The sequence below is a fragment of the Homo sapiens genome, chromosome 11 (assembly GCF_000001405.40).
Source record: "Homo sapiens chromosome 11, GRCh38.p14 Primary Assembly".
NCBI lineage: Eukaryota > Metazoa > Chordata > Mammalia > Primates > Hominidae > Homo > Homo sapiens.
The window spans coordinates 121,452,979-121,471,166 of NC_000011.10; the positions used below are offsets into that span (position 1 = coordinate 121,452,979).

General features: G+C 46.2%; 1 protein-coding gene across 1 annotated transcript in view, besides 7 other annotated features; it reads left to right on the plus strand.

The window, feature by feature from the left end:
• SORL1 (sortilin related receptor 1) overlaps positions 1–18,188 on the plus strand; it is a 181,450-nt gene that overhangs the window by 665 nt on the left and 162,597 nt on the right. The window contains exon 2 of the mRNA NM_003105.6: positions 17,029–17,145. Within this exon, the coding sequence (NP_003096.2) occupies positions 17,029–17,145 (117 nt within the window). The remainder of the gene's footprint in view (positions 1–17,028; positions 17,146–18,188) is intronic.
• Positions 33–102: an enhancer, noted in NCBI's record as "active region_5654". NCBI's record gives its function as "activates an Ori minimal core promoter by ATAC-STARR-seq in GM12878 lymphoblastoid cells {active_cell/tissue: GM12878}" and the evidence as "EXISTENCE:reporter gene assay evidence [ECO:0000049][PMID:35858748]".
• Positions 123–172: an enhancer, noted in NCBI's record as "active region_5655". NCBI's record gives its function as "activates an Ori minimal core promoter by ATAC-STARR-seq in GM12878 lymphoblastoid cells {active_cell/tissue: GM12878}" and the evidence as "EXISTENCE:reporter gene assay evidence [ECO:0000049][PMID:35858748]".
• Positions 1,297–1,346: a silencer, noted in NCBI's record as "silent region_4005". NCBI's record gives its function as "represses an Ori minimal core promoter by ATAC-STARR-seq in GM12878 lymphoblastoid cells {active_cell/tissue: GM12878}" and the evidence as "EXISTENCE:reporter gene assay evidence [ECO:0000049][PMID:35858748]".
• Positions 12,790–13,989: an enhancer, noted in NCBI's record as "P300/CBP strongly-dependent group 1 enhancer chr11:121336477-121337676 (GRCh37/hg19 assembly coordinates)". NCBI's record gives its function as "activates an origin of replication core promoter dependent on BRD2, BRD4, P300/CBP, MED14 and CDK7 cofactors, with strong dependence on P300/CBP, by STARR-seq in HCT116 cells {active_cell/tissue: HCT116}" and the evidence as "EXISTENCE:reporter gene assay evidence [ECO:0000049][PMID:35650434]".
• Positions 13,553–13,622: an enhancer, noted in NCBI's record as "active region_5656". NCBI's record gives its function as "activates an Ori minimal core promoter by ATAC-STARR-seq in GM12878 lymphoblastoid cells {active_cell/tissue: GM12878}" and the evidence as "EXISTENCE:reporter gene assay evidence [ECO:0000049][PMID:35858748]".
• Positions 15,038–15,087: an enhancer, noted in NCBI's record as "active region_5657". NCBI's record gives its function as "activates an Ori minimal core promoter by ATAC-STARR-seq in GM12878 lymphoblastoid cells {active_cell/tissue: GM12878}" and the evidence as "EXISTENCE:reporter gene assay evidence [ECO:0000049][PMID:35858748]".
• Positions 15,468–15,517: an enhancer, noted in NCBI's record as "active region_5658". NCBI's record gives its function as "activates an Ori minimal core promoter by ATAC-STARR-seq in GM12878 lymphoblastoid cells {active_cell/tissue: GM12878}" and the evidence as "EXISTENCE:reporter gene assay evidence [ECO:0000049][PMID:35858748]".

The window sequence follows — 18,188 nt, forward strand, 5'->3', positions numbered from 1 at the left end:
CCCTGCAGTTGCGGTACACTTACACAGAACAGCACGAGGTGGGGGTTTCCACACTTAGCATTATTAGCACAATAAAAGTGGGCAAACCTGAAAGCTTGTCGACTATCTCTGTACAGTCAGACAAGAGGTGTGTGTATGTGTGTGCGTGTGTAAAGGCTGAATTTTTAATTTTTAATTTTTGGCGAGCGTGTGAGATGCTCTCCATTCCTTCTTCCCCACCCTTCAAGATGCTGACTCTCCCACCCCCGTCAAGATAACTTTATTTTGGAGAGGAATACCCCTCATGGCACTTGGAGATTTGAAAGGACTGCAGGAAATTTGGTGGGCATTATTATTCTATAAGTGATTTATTTCTACCCAGGCAATAGGTTTATTAGATCATAAGTAACGTGAATTTCACTTTTATGGTCAGACTTACTGCGAGGAATTGCAGATGGAGTTTGTAGGTTAGGATCAGCACTGGCAAAATTAATTTGACCGTGTTATTGCCTCATGAGACTCCCAGTCCTGCAGTTAAGATTGACATCAGCAAAAGTATAAGGTCGGTGGGGGAGAAAAAGTAGGACCAGAGGAGGGGGTAAATACACTTGTTTTCTAGAGTCAAATTGTTCCTTTTGAAGTAGAAATTATTAATAAAAGATTACCCTGAGTTCTGCCTTTTCTCACTAATTTCACTTTAGCCATTTCTTCAGGAAATACAGAGTTAAATGTTCAACCCTTGGATCCAGGACGAACCTTGTAAACATATCACCCTATTGTGTCATTTTGTTGGTGAAGAAACTGAAGCGTGGAATGGTGAAGTGACTAGTCCAAGGTCATACCGGGAAGGTGGCCTGCTCTCTAGTTTTTGTCTGCATTGTCTCAGTGACCTTTGCTTGACTGCAGTCACCCTGTCTTTATGCAATGCTGCTGAAATACCTCCTTTCTAAAATAAAATAGATCTGGTATAAAGGGGGAAAGGATGGTGGTGACTGGGTGGGAGCGTTGGATTTCCCTCCACTATTGGTCCCTGGGCAAGAATGTGTGCCCCAGGGCATGTAACTAATGGTGGCCACAGGCTGCAGGAACCTGCATGCTCAGTTCCTCTTGGGCCCAGATCCTTGTCCCCCTGTCCCCACCCCATATGACAAATATGTGTATGAACAAAAAGAAGTCATCAAGGTCCTTGCTCTTAACAGCGACACCAGCATGGGGCTGATGGAGGGTGGGAGAAGGAGGAGGAGTGGCCCACTTCTTCATTGGGCCTCCGCAGTCAGCCCAGCTCTGCTGTGCTCTTGAATCAGCATTCTGGGAACTGGGAGTTGGGGGCTGGTGGGAGACAATCCCTCCCAGTGCTCAGGTCCCCTGAAGCTATAGTTTAGGTTGAGGAAAAAGTTTTCTGGTTTCAAAAATATGTGTACATGTGCCATTTCTTTCTTGGGTTTGGTTTATGAAAAGCTCCAGGGGATGTGGGGCAGGTTGGACATGAACTCTGTTCTCACTGGGAGTGACTCCCAAACCCTGGGCTTTTGAGTTTCTGGGCCAGCCAGATTGAGTTTGGTTCAGCTGAAGGATGGAGAACTAGCAGTCAAACTCATAATGAGGAATTCCTAACCGGAGGGTGAGGGTACAAGGGTGAGATTTTTCTTCTCTGTGGCTGCCTTCCTATGCCATTGTTGCCTCTTGCTCTGAGGTTAATAAGAAGTGGAATTAATTTGAATCTGTAAGGATTTGAGTCAGATAAAAGGAAGAACTTCCCTGTACTGGGCTTTCTGCCACAAGTTCTATCTGGTGCAGACCCTTCAGAATGCAAGCACAGGTTGGTGACTGAAGGGGTTTGAGGTGCCCCTCTTGGAACTCTGGAGTAACTAACATCTATTTGGAATGATCTTTCTAGCAAGGATGACCATTGCCTCTGTGTTTCCCTGGGGCAGACCTGGTTTCTAAGTTGTCTCTGGTGGTTATGAATAGCACCCCCTTCACTCTCAAAAGTGTCAAGATGTGACAATAAATTATATGGTCCTACTTTTAGCCTTAAGCCAAGTTCCACTTTGTAATCACGACTTTCCCCTTCAACGTTTAAACCTAAGGAATGGTGATGTTTTCCAACAGTACTGCTTGACTTGAGTGTGGTTCTATGGAGGTGCAGTGAGCTGGGGAATAAAATTTCATTCCTGCTTTTAGGAAATTTACAATTTAAGGAGGAGAGCAAGCAGATGCAGATACAGGCATGTCAATGTACCAGGATGGGAACCAGGAAACATGGTCACAAGAAACCAGCCACAACTCTACAATGGTGTGATAACGGGCTGTGTGACATGCAGCGCATGGGAGATGGAGAGATAAGGGGTGGTGGGCTCAGACACTGTCCAGCTTCTTGCCCTCTGACCTTTGAGTGAGGTTAAGAGGACACTGGCAGCACAGGTTAGGGCTGGAAGCAGAAGCTGCCTGAAGGAAGCAGGCCTAGAGGCGATGTTAAGGCCACCACCTTCAGGGAGAAGAGAAGGGAAGGCTTTCTAGGGGAATACTTGCATCTGAGAAAGAGCCCTGTGCTGGAGTCAATGTCGGTCCTTTTTCCTCTGCTTCGCTAATGTCTTGGGTAAACTAGGCTTGGTTATTTTGACCATTTTCCTCCTCAGTTTCTCTAAGGTGGGGAGACCGGCTTCTGCCATGATTACTTAAAGGCACATTTATGATACTGAAATGTGATTGTAGGGGTGAAAATAATTTGCTGGCAGATATCAGGACTTTTCTGCCCATGTTCAAGGCTCACGCCTGTAATCCCAGCACTGTGGGAGGCCGAGGCGGGTGGATCACTTGAGGTCAGGAGTTCGAAACCAGCCTGGTCCACATGGGGAAACCCCGTCTCTACTAAAACTACAAAAATTCACTGGGCGTGGTGGCAGATGCCTGTAGTCCTGGCTACTCAAGAGGCTGAGGCAGGAGAATCGCTTGAACCCCGGAGGCGGAGGTTGCAGTGAGCCGAGATCGCGCCATTGCACTCCAGCCTGGGGGACAGAGTGAGACTCCATCTAAAAAAAAAAAAAAAAAAGGCAAAGTTTAGAAGTTGAGCCCCTTCTTAAAGGCCAGGTCCAAGAAGAGGGATTCCCTAATTCATGCCACACTGAATTTCCTCCTGATTTCTCATAAGCTCTGTCTGTCTGCGCCATCATACCTGCTTTTTCCTCTGCCTGAAATGATCTTCCCCAACTCTTGTCCTTGCCTGGGAAGCTCTTATTCCATTCTTTAACATCCAAGGAATACCTCTTGGTATTCTCAGGCTATGGTGGGAAGAGTTTCTTCTGAGCTTGGAGGCAGCACTTACTGCCTTGTGTTAGAATTGCTCAACTGTCTCATCTTCCTGTTTGCTCCTTGAGGGCATGGATCAAGTTCTCTTGTGTTTCCCTGGCACTTGGGAGGCCCTTAATGAGTATTTGTGGACCAGCCACACACCTGGAAGAAGAGAGGCCCAGAGGGTAGGAAGCACATTCACATTATATAAAATGTATTTGTAAGGAGGAATACAGTGAACCCACACATGGATAGTGAAAATGAGATGGCTCATTCGGTAGTGAGGATGCAAGCGGCATGGCCTACAGATAGTGGAGCCCTGATTTGCCTGTGCTATATGGGAGTTATTTTCAATGAAGAGCTTGGATTCTATTTTACAGAATCCTCCCTTTTAGGGCTATCATTCTGGTTTATGCTAATGGTATTGTTTTGGGGAAAAATCCTTTGGAATAAAGCACAAAGCCTAACAGGATTTACAGGTTTATTTTCCTTCCAACAAGCTCTCTCTTCATAATTCCTACATTTTAGAAGCCAGGGAGTATTCAGTGTCCTGATTTGAGACTGAAAATAAAGTGTCTATTACAGCACAAGGCCCTGGGACAAAAGGCCTCCTTTGGGGGTGGAATACCGTTCAGCTTTAGATCTCTTTTGAGTAGATTCTTCCATGATACACTTGCTTGGGAAAGAATTGGCTGGTTGATTCTGAAGTTAGGATGTTTGACCTGTGTGCTTCCAGAATAAGATGAGAAGGCAAAGAATGTGCTGCTTCAGGTTGGCTTTTATGTAGCTGAAGAGTTGCTCGGGGCCTTGGGTTGGCTCAATAAGGGACGTGACCTTGAAAAGCTCTTCCTGGTTCCACTTGGCGTCTTTTCTTAGGGAGCTCTGTGCCCAGTCTCTGGCCGCTTTTAGTTCATAAATAGCTTGCATGGTTAGAGGCACAGAAGGTGGAGGCTTTGCGAGGGGGAAGGAATGGAGGAAAGGGGTTGGTGAGAAGAGTAAGGAGGCGGAATTTGGAGGGATGAAATAAAAAGCTGTCTGATTAGGTAATGCACGTTTACAAAACAAAATTTGTACAAAAGCGTATGTGGTAACAAATTTCCTTCCCTCTCATGCCCCCTGTTCACCCAGAGCTCCTTTCCGGGTGGCATCCGTTGTTATCAATATTTTTGTATATCTTTCCAGAAACAGTCTATGCATGTACAACATGTATGTACATAAAATTGGAAACTTGAATTATAAATGGCTTCCTGTTACCTGTAGTCCCTGGTATCCTGAATAATGAGATTAACTTTAGCTCTAAATTATATTTGTGATATTATGATGGTGAATTGTTAGAAAATTACCTGAAGTATCATAATATAAAATAGATGATTACTTTTTTTCCAGGCCAGGTGAGAAAAACCTCATTCTCCTTTCACTTCAAGCGTTCTTGCAGAGCAGGAGAGCAGCCTGATGTAGCCCCCTTGTAACTTGGAGAGATGCTGGAGCACAGTTCCCTTGAGATGTGGAGTCCAGGCTTGTAAGAGCATCAGAATACAGTGATCATGGATCTTGGTTTTAATTTGTGTTCTGTCTGAGAATGTTTTCTCTATGTTCTGTAAAATGAAGTTAATGGTATGCTTAATAAATTGCTTTGAGACTTGGGATCCACGAGGCAGATCCTTATAGCAACGAACATCCCAAGGCAAAAGGTGGATGTTGTAGGAACATTTCATTGTCAGATTTTGGTCTGTTCCTCCTTAGAGATGACAGCCATCTTCATAGTGTCATTGTTGAATCCCAGGGCAGAGATAGTTGGAGCCAGCTTTGTTCCACCCACTGTAATGGAGGGACACAGGGGGCAGTCTTATCATAATCTGGAGAGCAGGTAATCCAAAAAATAATCGATTTGCTTTTGCTATGTATTTATGTAGTCTTTTTTTTAAAGCATTCGTTTACCTTCCTAATTAAGTTTTGCTCAGGTGAATATTAAAATGAGTTTGCATTCTTTGATCTATTGATAAGGGAAATGGCTGGCCTAAATGTATTCAGGGAAAGGCAGTTTGGAGTTTAGAATTTGCGACAATAATTCAGATGCAGATAATTGAGAGTTGATAAAAATGTATTAAATGTTTTAAATGAATAAAAATGTATTAAAACCTGGGGGCATTACATTGACCTTTCCTCCATTTATTTGGATTTAAATAAATGTGATGGAAAGTAAAAGAGAGCTCACTGCATTTTTGGTTTGAATATTCAGGGATTAGTATTTCTCCAGAGGTGGTCTGGGCTGTGGGGGTGAGGCATTCTCTGTTGATGAGCATGGGACTTTCCTATGCATTTTCTAGGTATGCCAGACACTGTTGGCAGATGGTATAGTCAGTCTAGCCACGTACATGCAAAAATCAATTTCCCTCAATTTAAAATGAGCCACAGTTAATTTCGACCTAATTTATTGGCTTATCGACCTGTGAACCCTGGGCCTTCGAAGAAGTGGCATGGGCGGCCTTCAAGCGCTGAAGTGGCTGATGAAGCTAAAATCCAGAAAAGGCAGGGTGGGCTGCTGAGCAAGATCAAGATTTGAGTTTCCTCCTGTGTTATTGTGAGATGCTCAGTTTTTTTTAACTGTAACATGACCAATGCTTTGTGCATTTTATGGTGGGTTCCGTAAAAATAGGACTGCGTAACGATCACAAGTACACTAGTGTGTTAAAAAATAATTACAAAGTTCTGTTATCCACTGGGTAACTGTTTATTATAATGGTAACATCCATGCCCATAGCACTGCTACTAGCCAAGAGCTGGAAGATCCTATCTTCCTGGCCGCGTCCTGGACCCTCCGATGTGGCACTGTTCAATAGATCTTTCTGTGATAGTGATGTTTTCTATCTGTGCTGTTCACCATGTTCACTAGTCAGATCTGGCCATTGAGCAGGTGAAATGTGGCAAGTGTGACTGAAGACTTGAAGTGTCTTTCATTTAATTTTAACGAATTTAAAGTTGAAATAGCCACATGTGGCTCTTGGCTACTGTGTAGACAGCACAAGCTTTGACAAGGCCTCTTCTTCCCACCTGTAGGCAACCTCTGCTTCACCCAAGAGAGAAGTTCCTGCAAAGACCTGCTCGTGTAGGCAGGGCAAACAGGGCAATAAAAGCAAGAGTGGAGGGCTTGGGTCTAGACCCTAGGTATTGGTGGCTGCTGACTGCCAAGTTGAGTGTCAGGAGACAGTGGTCCTTCTTTCCTAGGTAGGAACTCACCAGGGGGACCGTGGAGGGCCAAGTGGGTCCGGTGGTTGGCTCTAGGGCATGCCTCTGCACAGTTGCCTCCTTCTGTCAGTCACTTAGTCAATGAAGGCTGGCTATTCATAGGGTGAACCAGATCTCTGTGGCTTCACTTCTCATCTGGCCTTGCGCAAACACTGCACTTGTATCGGGCTTTGCTAAGGTGGAGCGCAGACCCTGCACGTTCTGTTTAGCAATGAAAGATGTAAACAGTGCCTTAACAGTGGGGCCATCTCCCTGCCCTGCCCTTTGCTTCCTGTGCTTTTGTTGACTTACCTTGATGTAGCTGGGTCTGTCTTTCTTCCCTTCAACCCTCCAGATTGGCATGAAGACAAACACTACAGGCGTGTGGTCTTCATCTTTGCATATAAACCTCCCCCACTTCTTGGCTGACCTTTTAACTTAGCTTGCCATTGCTGTTGCTGCTGCTGCAGGCTCTTAGCTTGGAAAATCAGGACCCTTCACAATGATTTATCTCCAGTCCCCTGAATTAGATTCAAAACACAGCTACGAATTCTCAGAAAGGCAGGCTGATGTGATTATATCCCAAATCTGAGTGGCTGACAAGGACAATAAAAAGATGTACCTATATCAAATGCATTTGTGCCGTGTAGAGACCAATATGTTGTTTATTATCTCCCCCCCTTTCTGGGGGTTTTTTAAATGAAGAAGGTAACTGATGTGACCTCTATTATTTAGAAGAGAGACTAGCCTGTTGAGTAGAAACCCTGGGGGAAGATGACTAGGGTGAATCTTACATGAAATAAATGTGGGGGTGAATCAATGGGTGGGCCCTCAGTTGGGATTTTAATATTTTAGGGATACTGAGATGATTTCCTTCTGACTTTGGGGGGCTGGTGAGCTGAGGTGTAGTGTCATGATGAATTTTTTTTTTTTTTTTTTTTGAGACAGAGTCTCGCTCCGTCACCCAGCTGGAGTGCAGTGGCTCTATCTCGGCTCACTGCAACCTCTGCCTCCCAGGTTCAGGCGATTCTTGTGCCTCAGCCTCCTGAGTAGCTGGGATTACAGGTGCGCACCACCACGCCCGGCTAATTGTTTTGTATTTTTAGTAGAGATGAGGTTTCACCATATTGGCCAGGCTGGTCTCGAACTCCTGACCTCGTGATTCACCCACCTTGGCCTCCCAAAATGCTGGGATTACAGGTGTGAGCCACCGTGCCTGGCCTTGGTGAAATTTTTAACTCTGTGCCCAGAGGCATTGGAAAGGCTGGTATGATCTGGTTGAGCCTGGAGGGCCCTGGGTTAAGAGCCACCTGTGGAGAAAGGCTAGCTTGGGGACTGTGGCTGGGAAGACTTTAATAGGTACCTGTGAGATAGCAAGCTATAGGGTTAAGGTCCCAGATAGTTAAGGACCCCATTTCTCTATTAGCCCAGGAGACACATGCGAGACAGTTCCACCTGTCTCTGCCCCAGGGACCTGGGGAGAAAGGCCAGTGCTGATCTGCCCAAGGATCTCAGCCAAGGAGCCCGAGATGGCAGGGAGTGGGGACAGAGCAGAGTGGGGTGAGTGTCCTGTGAAACCAGAAGTGTTTGGAAGGACTTGCATGCTTTGAACCTGTGCTCAATTAATTGAGTAACCTGAGACTCTGTACCTATGACTTACCTCATCTGTGTACATTTAGTTCCCTGAAATTCTCTCACTGAGTGGTTAAAAAAAAAAAAAATCTGCAGTTAACTGTGCACATGGTTTGCTGAATTTGGCAAGGTGTGCTGTTGGTGGTGGTGGTGATGGGTGGGCTGGAGGGGGACGGTTACTGCAGAAACAAGGCCTTCAATCTCTAGAGGAGAAAAATGAAGCAGTGGATGTGGAAAGTTGGTTAGAGGTGAAAGAGCTATCTAAACAGAGCTGGGGGAGTTTAGCTAGCAGACCAGAGCCTGTGGGACGTCCGCCTGTTGCCTCACCTCCTGGTAGCCCAGAGGGCATCTCCTATTACTGAGAAATTGGCCAAGCCATGGGTTTAATGCACTCCCCCTTCTCCATTAGTCTTGTTTATAGCTGCCCTCACAGGGTGGTGAAGAAGCCACTGGTAGGGTATAGAGGCCTTCGGTTCTGGGATGTAATGTTTACATGCTTTTCTCTTGGAGTTAGGAAAGTGCTAGAAAACAGTGTCGCCTCTGGGCTGGAGCCTTGGGACCTGGAGGTTGGGTTTCCCCAGGTTTCAGAGTTCGGCTGGGAATCAAGGAGAAAACTGCCTGTGAGTTTCAGTTAGGCAGGAGCTCCTAGCTTGACTCAGGCGTGCAGTGTTTTGTCATTTTATATATGTCATCGCTTGCTCTTAGGCCTTTCGCTAATGTTAATGTTCTATGTGGAGCCGTTTTGTGAGGAATGGCTTATTTTGGTTGAGAGGCATTTGGTAATGAAAAGAAATGATGTTTTAGTGCGTCGAAGTTTATGAAATGACATCCACAGGCTGCATCTCATTTGATTCTTACGACAATCTTGAAAAATGGGGAAGATAAGAATGATTATTCATCTCATTTCAGAGATGAGTATCTTGAAGCTTGAAAAGGTGAAGTGACTTACCCGTAGTTAGACAGGTGGTAAACCGGAGAGAACAAGACTCAAACCAACCCGCTAACTTGTTTCAGATTTATGCAGGCATATTTGTCTATCCTAAGTAATCTAGTGAAATTTTTGATCTCAAGCAGGGATCCACAGCTTTTTTGCAGTACTTTTTTTTCTCCACCTTTAAAACCTGGAGATCTCACATAATTCCACTTTCTCCTGGCCACACTGATCTTGTAATTTTTCAAACACAGCAAGTCTCAAGGCCCTTCTCCTTCCTGGCTTCTGCTCTGCCCTGCCTTAGGTCTGGGTCCATGTTCTCTGCCTCACTTTTCCATCCCCTTTTCCCTAACTCCTCCCTCTTCATCCTTATGGTGTCAGTACATAGGTCAGGTCTTCAGTGAAGCCTCACTCTCTCCCCGATATGAGGTTAGGTCCCCTGTGTAACAACAGTAATTCAATCATCATTCCTGGAATTAGTTGTTTAATGCGTGTTTTCCCTACTATATTCAGAGCTATGAGGCAGGACCTAGAATCGTGTTATTTTTCTTTCTTTTTTATTTTTTGAGACAGGGTCTAGCTCTGTCGCCCAGGCTGGAGTGCAGTGGCATGATCATAGCTCACTGCGGCCTCGATCTCTTGGGCACAAGCGATCCTCCCACCTCAGACTCCCTAGTAGCTGGGACTACAGGCATGCGCCACCAGGCCCGTCTAGTTTTTGTATTTTTTGTAGAGATGGGGTTGTGTCATGTTGTCTAGGCTGGTCTTGAACTCCTGGGCTCGAGGGATCCACCCGCCTTGGCCTCCCAAAGTGCTGGGATTGCAGATGTGAGTCTGCCATTTTACTAACACCTAGTATAGCATCTGGTATATAGTTAGTGCTTGATAAATACTTATTGACTGAACGCGGTGAGGGGCTATTCATGGTGAAGCTGCAGAGGGCAAGTCTGTGGTCTGGAACCATCCTGAAGAGCTGTGAGAAATGACTTTGGGCTCACAGGGAAATCCTCACGTAGGGCAAGTCCTGGCTTGGGGTGCGCTCTCTTGAGGGGGTATTTGCTGTGCTCACTCTGACTGTGTTTCCTGCACATGGCCGTGTGTTTTCAGGCAGTGAGAACCACCACATTGCCTTAAAGTCTGTCTCTGAGCTTAATCTCATTTGCAAAAGGTGGCATTTCATTTAATTGTTCTCTGAGATTCTTTCTGGCTTTGATATTTTCCTCATTTTTTTTTTGCCAACTGGTAAATTAAGGGGTGATATTATGTTCATGAGAAAGAGAGTTTTCCACAGTTTCTTTTTAGTAGGGAGCCCCTCCCAAAACAGCAAAGCATATTCGCTCATTGACAAAGTGGGTTCACCAGGACAGAGTGGCACACAGAGGTAAACAGTAGATAGGTTCTCGCTGCCAAGGATCAATCAGAAAGGGAAATAAGCTCTCTAAACTGATATTATAAGGCAGTGAGATTATGATTATCATCCTTTTAGCAAAGAGAAAGGAAAGGGCATATGTGTATTTTTCTCTGTAGAATGGTCATGGCTCCAGTGAAGGAGATAGTAGTGAATGCTAAGTTCTAGTCCAAGGTTATTCTCTCCTTGTTTCCTCATCTGGAAAATGGGCAGCCTGAATTCATCAGCAAAGTAGTTCAGGAGTTCTGTAGGTGAAGCATCTTGAGCAAACTCAAAAGTCAAGTGAGTGAGCTGAGATTCCATGAACTGGGCCTCTCTTCCGGGAGTGCTCGTAAACTAGATTTCAGCTTTCCTTCTGAGGTGAGCAGTCCAGGGAGGATAATAAGCCTGCTAAATATAGTGAGAACACAGTCTTGAAAGGGGACAGTGAGAGGCAATTTGCATACCTAGCATTTAAGCCATGCAAAGGGATGGTTTGGGAAAACCTTGTTCTCCTTGGACCTCAGGAGGCTGTCTTTGACTTCCTCAGTTTCGTCATATAGTTCAGGGGAGTGCCTGGCTCCTTCTGTCCTCACAGTTGAAGGACAGGATATTTGTTTTATGCTATATTGTAGAATTTTAAAAACGCTTCTTTGTATTTCACTGCTAGTGAAGCAGAGAAATGAATCAGACTGCCTTATTTGTCCTCCTTGTACTGCGTTTTGGGAGGAGGCTGTGTAGGAGTTGTGAGGACTGCAAGCTGTGGGAGTCTAGGACATCCTGATTTTTGGGTTTGACCAATTTGAAAGAGGTGTAGAGAGGGTACCTGTGACCCATTCTATTCAGTGGCCCCACCTCCTGCATAAGCCTCAACAACTATACAGATTTCGGTGGTTTTATTGGAAACTTCTCATCATTGGCTTAGACTTGCAACCCTAATTCCCCCAGAAGTGCTCTGTGTGAGCTAACAGGTAAGAAATGATTAAAGAGCCTACAGGGTGCCTGGCACCTAGCAGACCTCAGTGCCTACTTCATCCGCAAGTGAACGCATGAGTAATCAGTCCCTTCATCCAAGCCATTGACTTCCTCCCCTCTATTTATAACAACCCAGAACTTGAGGACTGGGTGGTAGCAGGTCCTTCCCCTCACTCTGAATAATAGGAGGTGAATCATTTCACCTCTCCGGGTTGCCAGGGCACGCAGGGGGCTGAGGGACAACACTTGTGGGGTGATATGGACTTGTTCGATGAAGATGCCGAGGCGAGTCAAGGTGTGGGTGGCATCCACTGTTGTGAGCTGGCGGTGGATGCTAGCCTTGGGCCTGCGGCTGTTTCTCCAGCTGGGGACAGGGAGGCCTGTGCGGATGCTGTGGCTCTGCAGATGCCGCTGACAGCACTTTGAAGGATTGGTTTGGCCAGAGACCCAGTCCACAGCCTGCCTCCTGTATGACTCATTCTAGCTGCATATTTTGGTAGCATGAGGGCTTGAGATGAGATAAAAGGAGCACTTCTTAAGAGTGGAAGCTCCTAGGTTCTTGATTAGCACTTGAGAAATATAATGTTCTCTGCAGGTCCTAGAGGCCTTAAAAAAATTTGAGTATATTTCACATTACATAAAATTAGCCATTTTAAAGTGAACAGTTCAGTGAACTTAATATCGCCGCAATGTTGTGCTACCATGATTTCCAAAACATTTCCATCGCTCTGAAATAAAACCCCTTACCCATTAAGCAGTGATTCCCTCCTCTCCAATCTCCCAGCCCCTCGTAACCACTAATCAGCTTTCTCTCCCTATGGATTTACCTATTCGGGACATTTCATATAAATGGTGTCATGCAATCATGCAATATGTGACCTTTTGTATCTGGCTTCTTTCACTTAGCATATTGTTTGTGAGGTTCAGCCACATTGTAGCATATATCATCAGTATATCCTAGAGTTTTAATGACCATCCCAAATCCCCAAAGACAAGCCCCCCCGCCAAAAATGGTACATCTTTCTAGCTACCGTCATTTAGTTCCAACTCCTGCCAGGAGGCAGGGGAATCAACTAGATTCATTGTTTCCCAAAGAAGCTGCATTAGAAATACCTGGGGTTGGGGTGTGTCTCCTTTTTTTTTTTTTGAGACGGAGTCTCGCTCTGTCGCCCAGGCTGGAGTGCAGTGGCATGATCTTGGCTTACTGCAACCTCTGCCTCCCAGATTCAAGCAATTCTCCTGCCTCAGCTTCCCGAGTAGCTGGGACTACAGGCACGTGCCACCGTGCCTGGCTAATTTTTTGTATTTTTAGTAGAGACGGTTTTTCACTGTGTTAGCCAGGTTGGTCTCCATCTCCTGACCTCGTGATCTGCCTGCCTTGGCCTCCCAAAGTGCTGGGATTACAGGCATGAACCACCACGCCCGGCTGGGTGTGTCTTTTAAAAAAGACTGATTCCTGGGCTCCAGGCAGAGGGCGACAGAGCCGGTAGGCGTGGAGTGGGGCCTCTTAGGTGATTCTGACCTTCAGTGGGGCATGGGACCCCCCTAGGCCAGGTGATCTTTGGGGGGTGGGGTGGGAGGAGTTATCTTGACTCTTAACGACCTGCCAATGAGCCAGATGCTGTTTGTTGTTTATGATGCAGTTTCTGTGTTCAGAGGTTTCTGTGGCATGTAATTTTTCTCTGTTTGCCTTCTGAGGGGAGGCACTCGGCCCCTCCCTGCTGCCTTAACAGCTCCAATTAATTGTGTCTCATTTATCAAGCTCCAGCTATGCCCTGTGAGCTAGACAGGGGAGAGGGAAGGTTGTTCACACCCCGGGGTTGTGGTTATAGCTGATTGCACGTCAAGGTTATGTTCCTGGGAAAACCACCCTCCCACCCACTCCCAGGCCAGTGTCTTCTGGGTGTGGGACCTGTGTGGGGGATTGGCGATGGAAAAAGGCTTGGGGAGGAGGAAAGGGGAGATCAGGGGGAGATCCTTGGGGATGGATGGAAAAGGAACCAAACAAACCGGAAGCCACTGATTAAGTAAAGGGATCTAGGGACCTGTGGGTTGTTCTTGATTGCTGGGGTCTGCCCTGGGCTGCTGGTGTCTTGGCCACATGCCATGGAGAGCTAGCAGGAAAAGCCTGCTTTGTTGACTTCTTTTCTTTCCCCTGGGGGTGAGGATGGGGGCAAGGTGGAGACAGAGGAGACAGGTGAGGCCAGAGGGTAGAATGCATGTCTTGATAATAAAATTTACTTCCTGTCAGCCTGCCTGCTGGCTCCCCTGTCCTGCGCGCATCCATTCCTGATTCCTGCAACTAGGTCTGCTGTGGGGGGATGGGCACCCGGGCTGCCTTGGGGATCAGCTGTGACTCACCAGGGAGTTATTCTTATGACCAGGATGTGCCTGACATCTCGCCAAGCAAAGGAGCTGAGCTGTTCCTGCGAGTGCCTGGTGGCCCTCGTACAAGTCATTTCTTGCCAGGGATTTTATCCCCCTACTGGGCTGCCCCTTTTCAGTCTGCTCTTATGAGTAAAAGGGACATCTAATAAAAAAAGCTTTCCTTAAAAAAAAGAAGAGAAAGAAACAAAGTAACAAACAAACAGGTGTTTTACCAGGCTTGCCTTCTAGAGGTTTTCTTTTTTTCTTTTTTTTTTTTTTTTTGAGGTGGAGTCTCGCTCTGTTGCCCAGGCTGGACTGCAGTGGTACAATCTTGGCTCACTGCAAGCTCCGCCTCCCGGGTTCACGCCATTCTCCTGCCTCAGCCTGCCGAGTAGCTGGGACTACAGGCACCCGCCACCACGCCCGGCTAATTTTTTGTATTTTTAGTAGAGACCGGGTTTCACCGTGTTAGCCAGGATGGGAGTTTTTCTTTGTAGAAAAGCCCTTGGATGTTTTGAGGCTTGCCCTTGGTGCTCTTCTCACCTTTCACCTGCCTTGGGATTGGTGAGGAGGTCTCCTGTCCTCTGAGTAGATCGATTTCAGCAAGTTATCTTCAGACCTTTTGCCCACTCTGATCACTGAAAGCTTTGCAACCTACTCAAAGCATTATCTGAGTGTTACCTGCCAGAGGGAGCATTTTGATGTCATCTTTGAGGATGCCCAAGTTGAATATTTGAGGACTTTTTATCCCAGATCCCAGGGGAACATGGGTGATTTTTTTTTTCTAGGTTCCTAGTCCTTTATTGTATTGACATTTGCATAGTTTTCTATCCCCACTCTGGTTCAAGAGTGCAGATGTTTTGGGAGGGGAGGAAACTTTTAGCTGGGATTCCCAGGGCACATGTGTTGTGAGTTTCTGATCTCCAGATGGATCCAGGGGATTGGGCTGGAGAGGAGGAAAAGGGAAGGCTTCAGCGACCGGAGGAGATTCCTTTAGCTGCTTTCTCTTTGTAGCATTCTGGATTAAATAATTTATTTACTTCTATTTCTTATTTGCACTTCTCTGTTAGTGCTTGCCTGGACTTCTCTATCTGGGAATGAGGAGAGACATTTTGGAAGGACACATATTCCTAGGTCCTTTTCTTTAAAGTAAGGTCGCCTTTCAAATGTTTTTCAAAAAGAGTTTGATCCTGGATCAAATTAAATGCAGGTATTTAAAACTCCAAGTAACGTCGTTAAGGATTAGCTGCTTTGTCCTTCTGCCAGCCAAATATGTGGCACAGGTGTTTCTCTTTTCCCTGATGACATCTGAGAGCACCTCAAGGAGTGGGTGGGGAAAGTTCGAGTGTGCTGGGGGGAGGAAGCGAGAGAAGGAGAAAGGAGCTGTGGGTTTTCTGCCGCAGAGCCTTGATGAGAAGACAGCTCGGAGGGCAGGTTGGCCCAGGCTTGAACTGTCATCAGTCTAGGCTTACTCGTGGGTGGGGTGGACTGTGCGGGCTGGAGTCCCAGAAGCTTGATTTCCTTCCACGTGTGCCTCAGACAGCTGAGGTTGAGGAGGCTGGTGGAATAGGCTTCTCTCAGACATCGCTCAGCAAGAGAGGCAGCCTGTGATCCTGGTTTCATGGCATTGTCCTGCTTCTGAGTGTTGGACCACCTCTCAGAATTTTTTTTTTGAGACTGAGTCTTGCTCTGTCGCCCAGATTGGAGTGTGGTAGCTCAACCTTGGCTCACTGCAACCTCTGCCTCCTGAGCTCAAGCGATTCTTCTGCCTCAGCCTCCCGAGTAGCTGGGACTACAGGTGCATGCCACCATGCCTGGCTACTTTTTGTATTTTTAGTAGAGATGGGGTTTCACCGTATTGGCCAGGCGGGTCTTGAACTCCTGACCTCAGGTGATCTGCCCGCCTTGGCCTCCCAAAGTGCTGGGATTACAGTCGTGGGCCACCGAGCCTGACCAGCTCTCAGAATTTTTGTTATTCCTGTCATGACTTTGCTTTCCACAGAGTGGGTGGAATGTATGGTTCAGGTGTTCAAATGCCAGTCCTCAGACAGGTGTCCATCAGCCAACAGTGAAATAAGAAAATAAAAGTAATGTAGTTTTCCATACAGTGAAACAATGGTTCTTTATTCTGAGATGATATGCTTCCTCAGTTTTCAGTGTTAACACATCTTTGAAAAAATGACAATGACTCTAGATAGTGGTCATATTGCCCTGTAAGGTGAGCTGCGTAACAGACAAATCCCAAAGGCTCAGCGTGTGGCTGAGTTGAGGCTCCGGGTTATGAGAAGTTCAGGATGAGTGCTACTGGTTAGCGGAGGTCTTTTCCATGGGGATGCAGCCTCCTTCCGTCTTCGGCTCTGCCCTCCTCTGGGGCTTTGGAGTCCTCTGAATGCGGCCTGCGGATGGGGAAAGAAAAGAGGACTGCATGGGGGCCAGGCCGATAGTGGCCCTGATGACTTCTCTCACATTACACCTGCTGGAACTCAGTCCCAGGCCACACCTTCTGCCCCACAGCCTGGACCAGAGTCTGCGGTGTCCTCAGGAAGCAGAGGAAAGAGATTGAGAGAGTAGCTAGTCCTGTTTTTGTGATGTCCTTACTTGGCAGAATAGAAGTTGCCAACCAGTCCTCTGTTGGCCTTCCTCATTTTTATTTTATCGGTTTACCAAATCTAAAAGTCTGAGAACTAAAATATTTCCTTATTTGAGACCTTTCAAAAATAATTTTGAAAAGCTTCACAATGATACTTCTCTCATTTCTCATTACCAGCTGAAAGTGAATGACAGTACCACCAAGCCAGAAAAAACATAGTTGGAACAGAAGTTTGAAAAGCATGTGATCTTTCTGGCCTATGAATTTTTTTTGAACAAGGGCAATGTTTCCATGCTTTGGTTTAAAATCTTACCAGTGCATGTCATACATAGAGTAAGGATCAGAGTAACCAGAGATTGGTATCATAAAGGATGAAAATAATCAAAGGAATTGGTTATGCCAATGAGAGCCCAAGAAGCTTTTCTACAATCTCTTTACATCCAAAATAGCAGGGGACTCATTTCTTTGTGGGGAAGTTGAGTGTGACAGAATATGCATGAGGTGGGAGGGGAAGAGGCCACCTTGGCCCAAATGCTTTAGATGGCAGAATCTTCATCATTTCTGCTTGACAAAGGAGGAAAGAGTCTTGATTTAGAATGTGTGTGGCCATCACTTATCGTGGGTCCTAATTCCTACATTGATCTCTTTCAGGTTAGTCTGAATGATTCCCACAATCAGATGGTGGTGCACTGGGCTGGAGAGAAAAGCAACGTGATCGTGGCCTTGGCCCGAGATAGCCTGGCATTGGCGAGGCCCAAGAGCAGTGATGTAAGTGTTGTGTTGGCTCTGGGCACACCTTGGTGCCATCAACATGCCCTTTTCTGGTCCACTGGGATTATCATACTGGAAAAAGTAGTGGGTAATTGGAACATGGAATGGATGAATTGTATGACAGGGAAGATAATCTAGAAAATGATATATCCCTTGTTTGCTGAACACAGGGAGGTGCAGTCAGTGTTGCAAACAGATCCATGCAATGTGTGATTACCTTTGGGAAGTAATAGCATATGGACTGGATTGTTGCATCTGCCCAAGAAAATACCAGAGTGCCTTCCTGGGCAGAGCTGCCTGCCTGCAGCTGAGCCCGATGGAATCAAATTGGCCTTTCCCATATGCTGGTTTCTTCTAACCCATTATAGTGGGATGAGCTGTTGAAACTGATTCTCTAATATTCTTAATTTCTATAGCTGGGTATTTGTGATCTTTAGTAGGTGAGGTACTTTGAAGACTCAAGATGCCAAGGGTTATAAACTCAAAGGCCTGTGGGAGGCCGGGCAGGTAAAGGACAGGAGTGAAGCCACCTTCAAGTTTATAACACTCTTTTCTATTTTTTTTTTGAGTTGGGGTCTGGCTCTGTTACCCAGGTTGGGGTACAGTGGTGTGATCTTGGCTCACTGCAACCTCCGCCTCCTGGGCTCAAGCCATCCTCCCACCCACTCAGCCTCCAGAGTAGCAGGAACTACAGGTGCACACCAGCATGGCTGGCTAATTTTTGTGCTTATATATATTTTTTGGTAGAGATGGGGTTTTGCCACGTTGCCTAGGCTGGTCTCGAACCCCTGGGCTCAAACAATCCGCCTGCCTCGGCCTCCCAAAGTGTTGAGACTACAGGCTTGAGCCACCACACCTGGCCATTACAACACTCTACCTCCTCAGAGAAATATGGTTTCTCCCATTTTTCTTGAAGTCTGTGGCCTTGTTGGACAATATATGTCATTTCCACTTTTGATGGAGATGCACATTCAAGAAACATTCTCCCATATCTTAATTTGAACATACTAATGGATACTTGGTTCCTGTGTTGGAGAGAC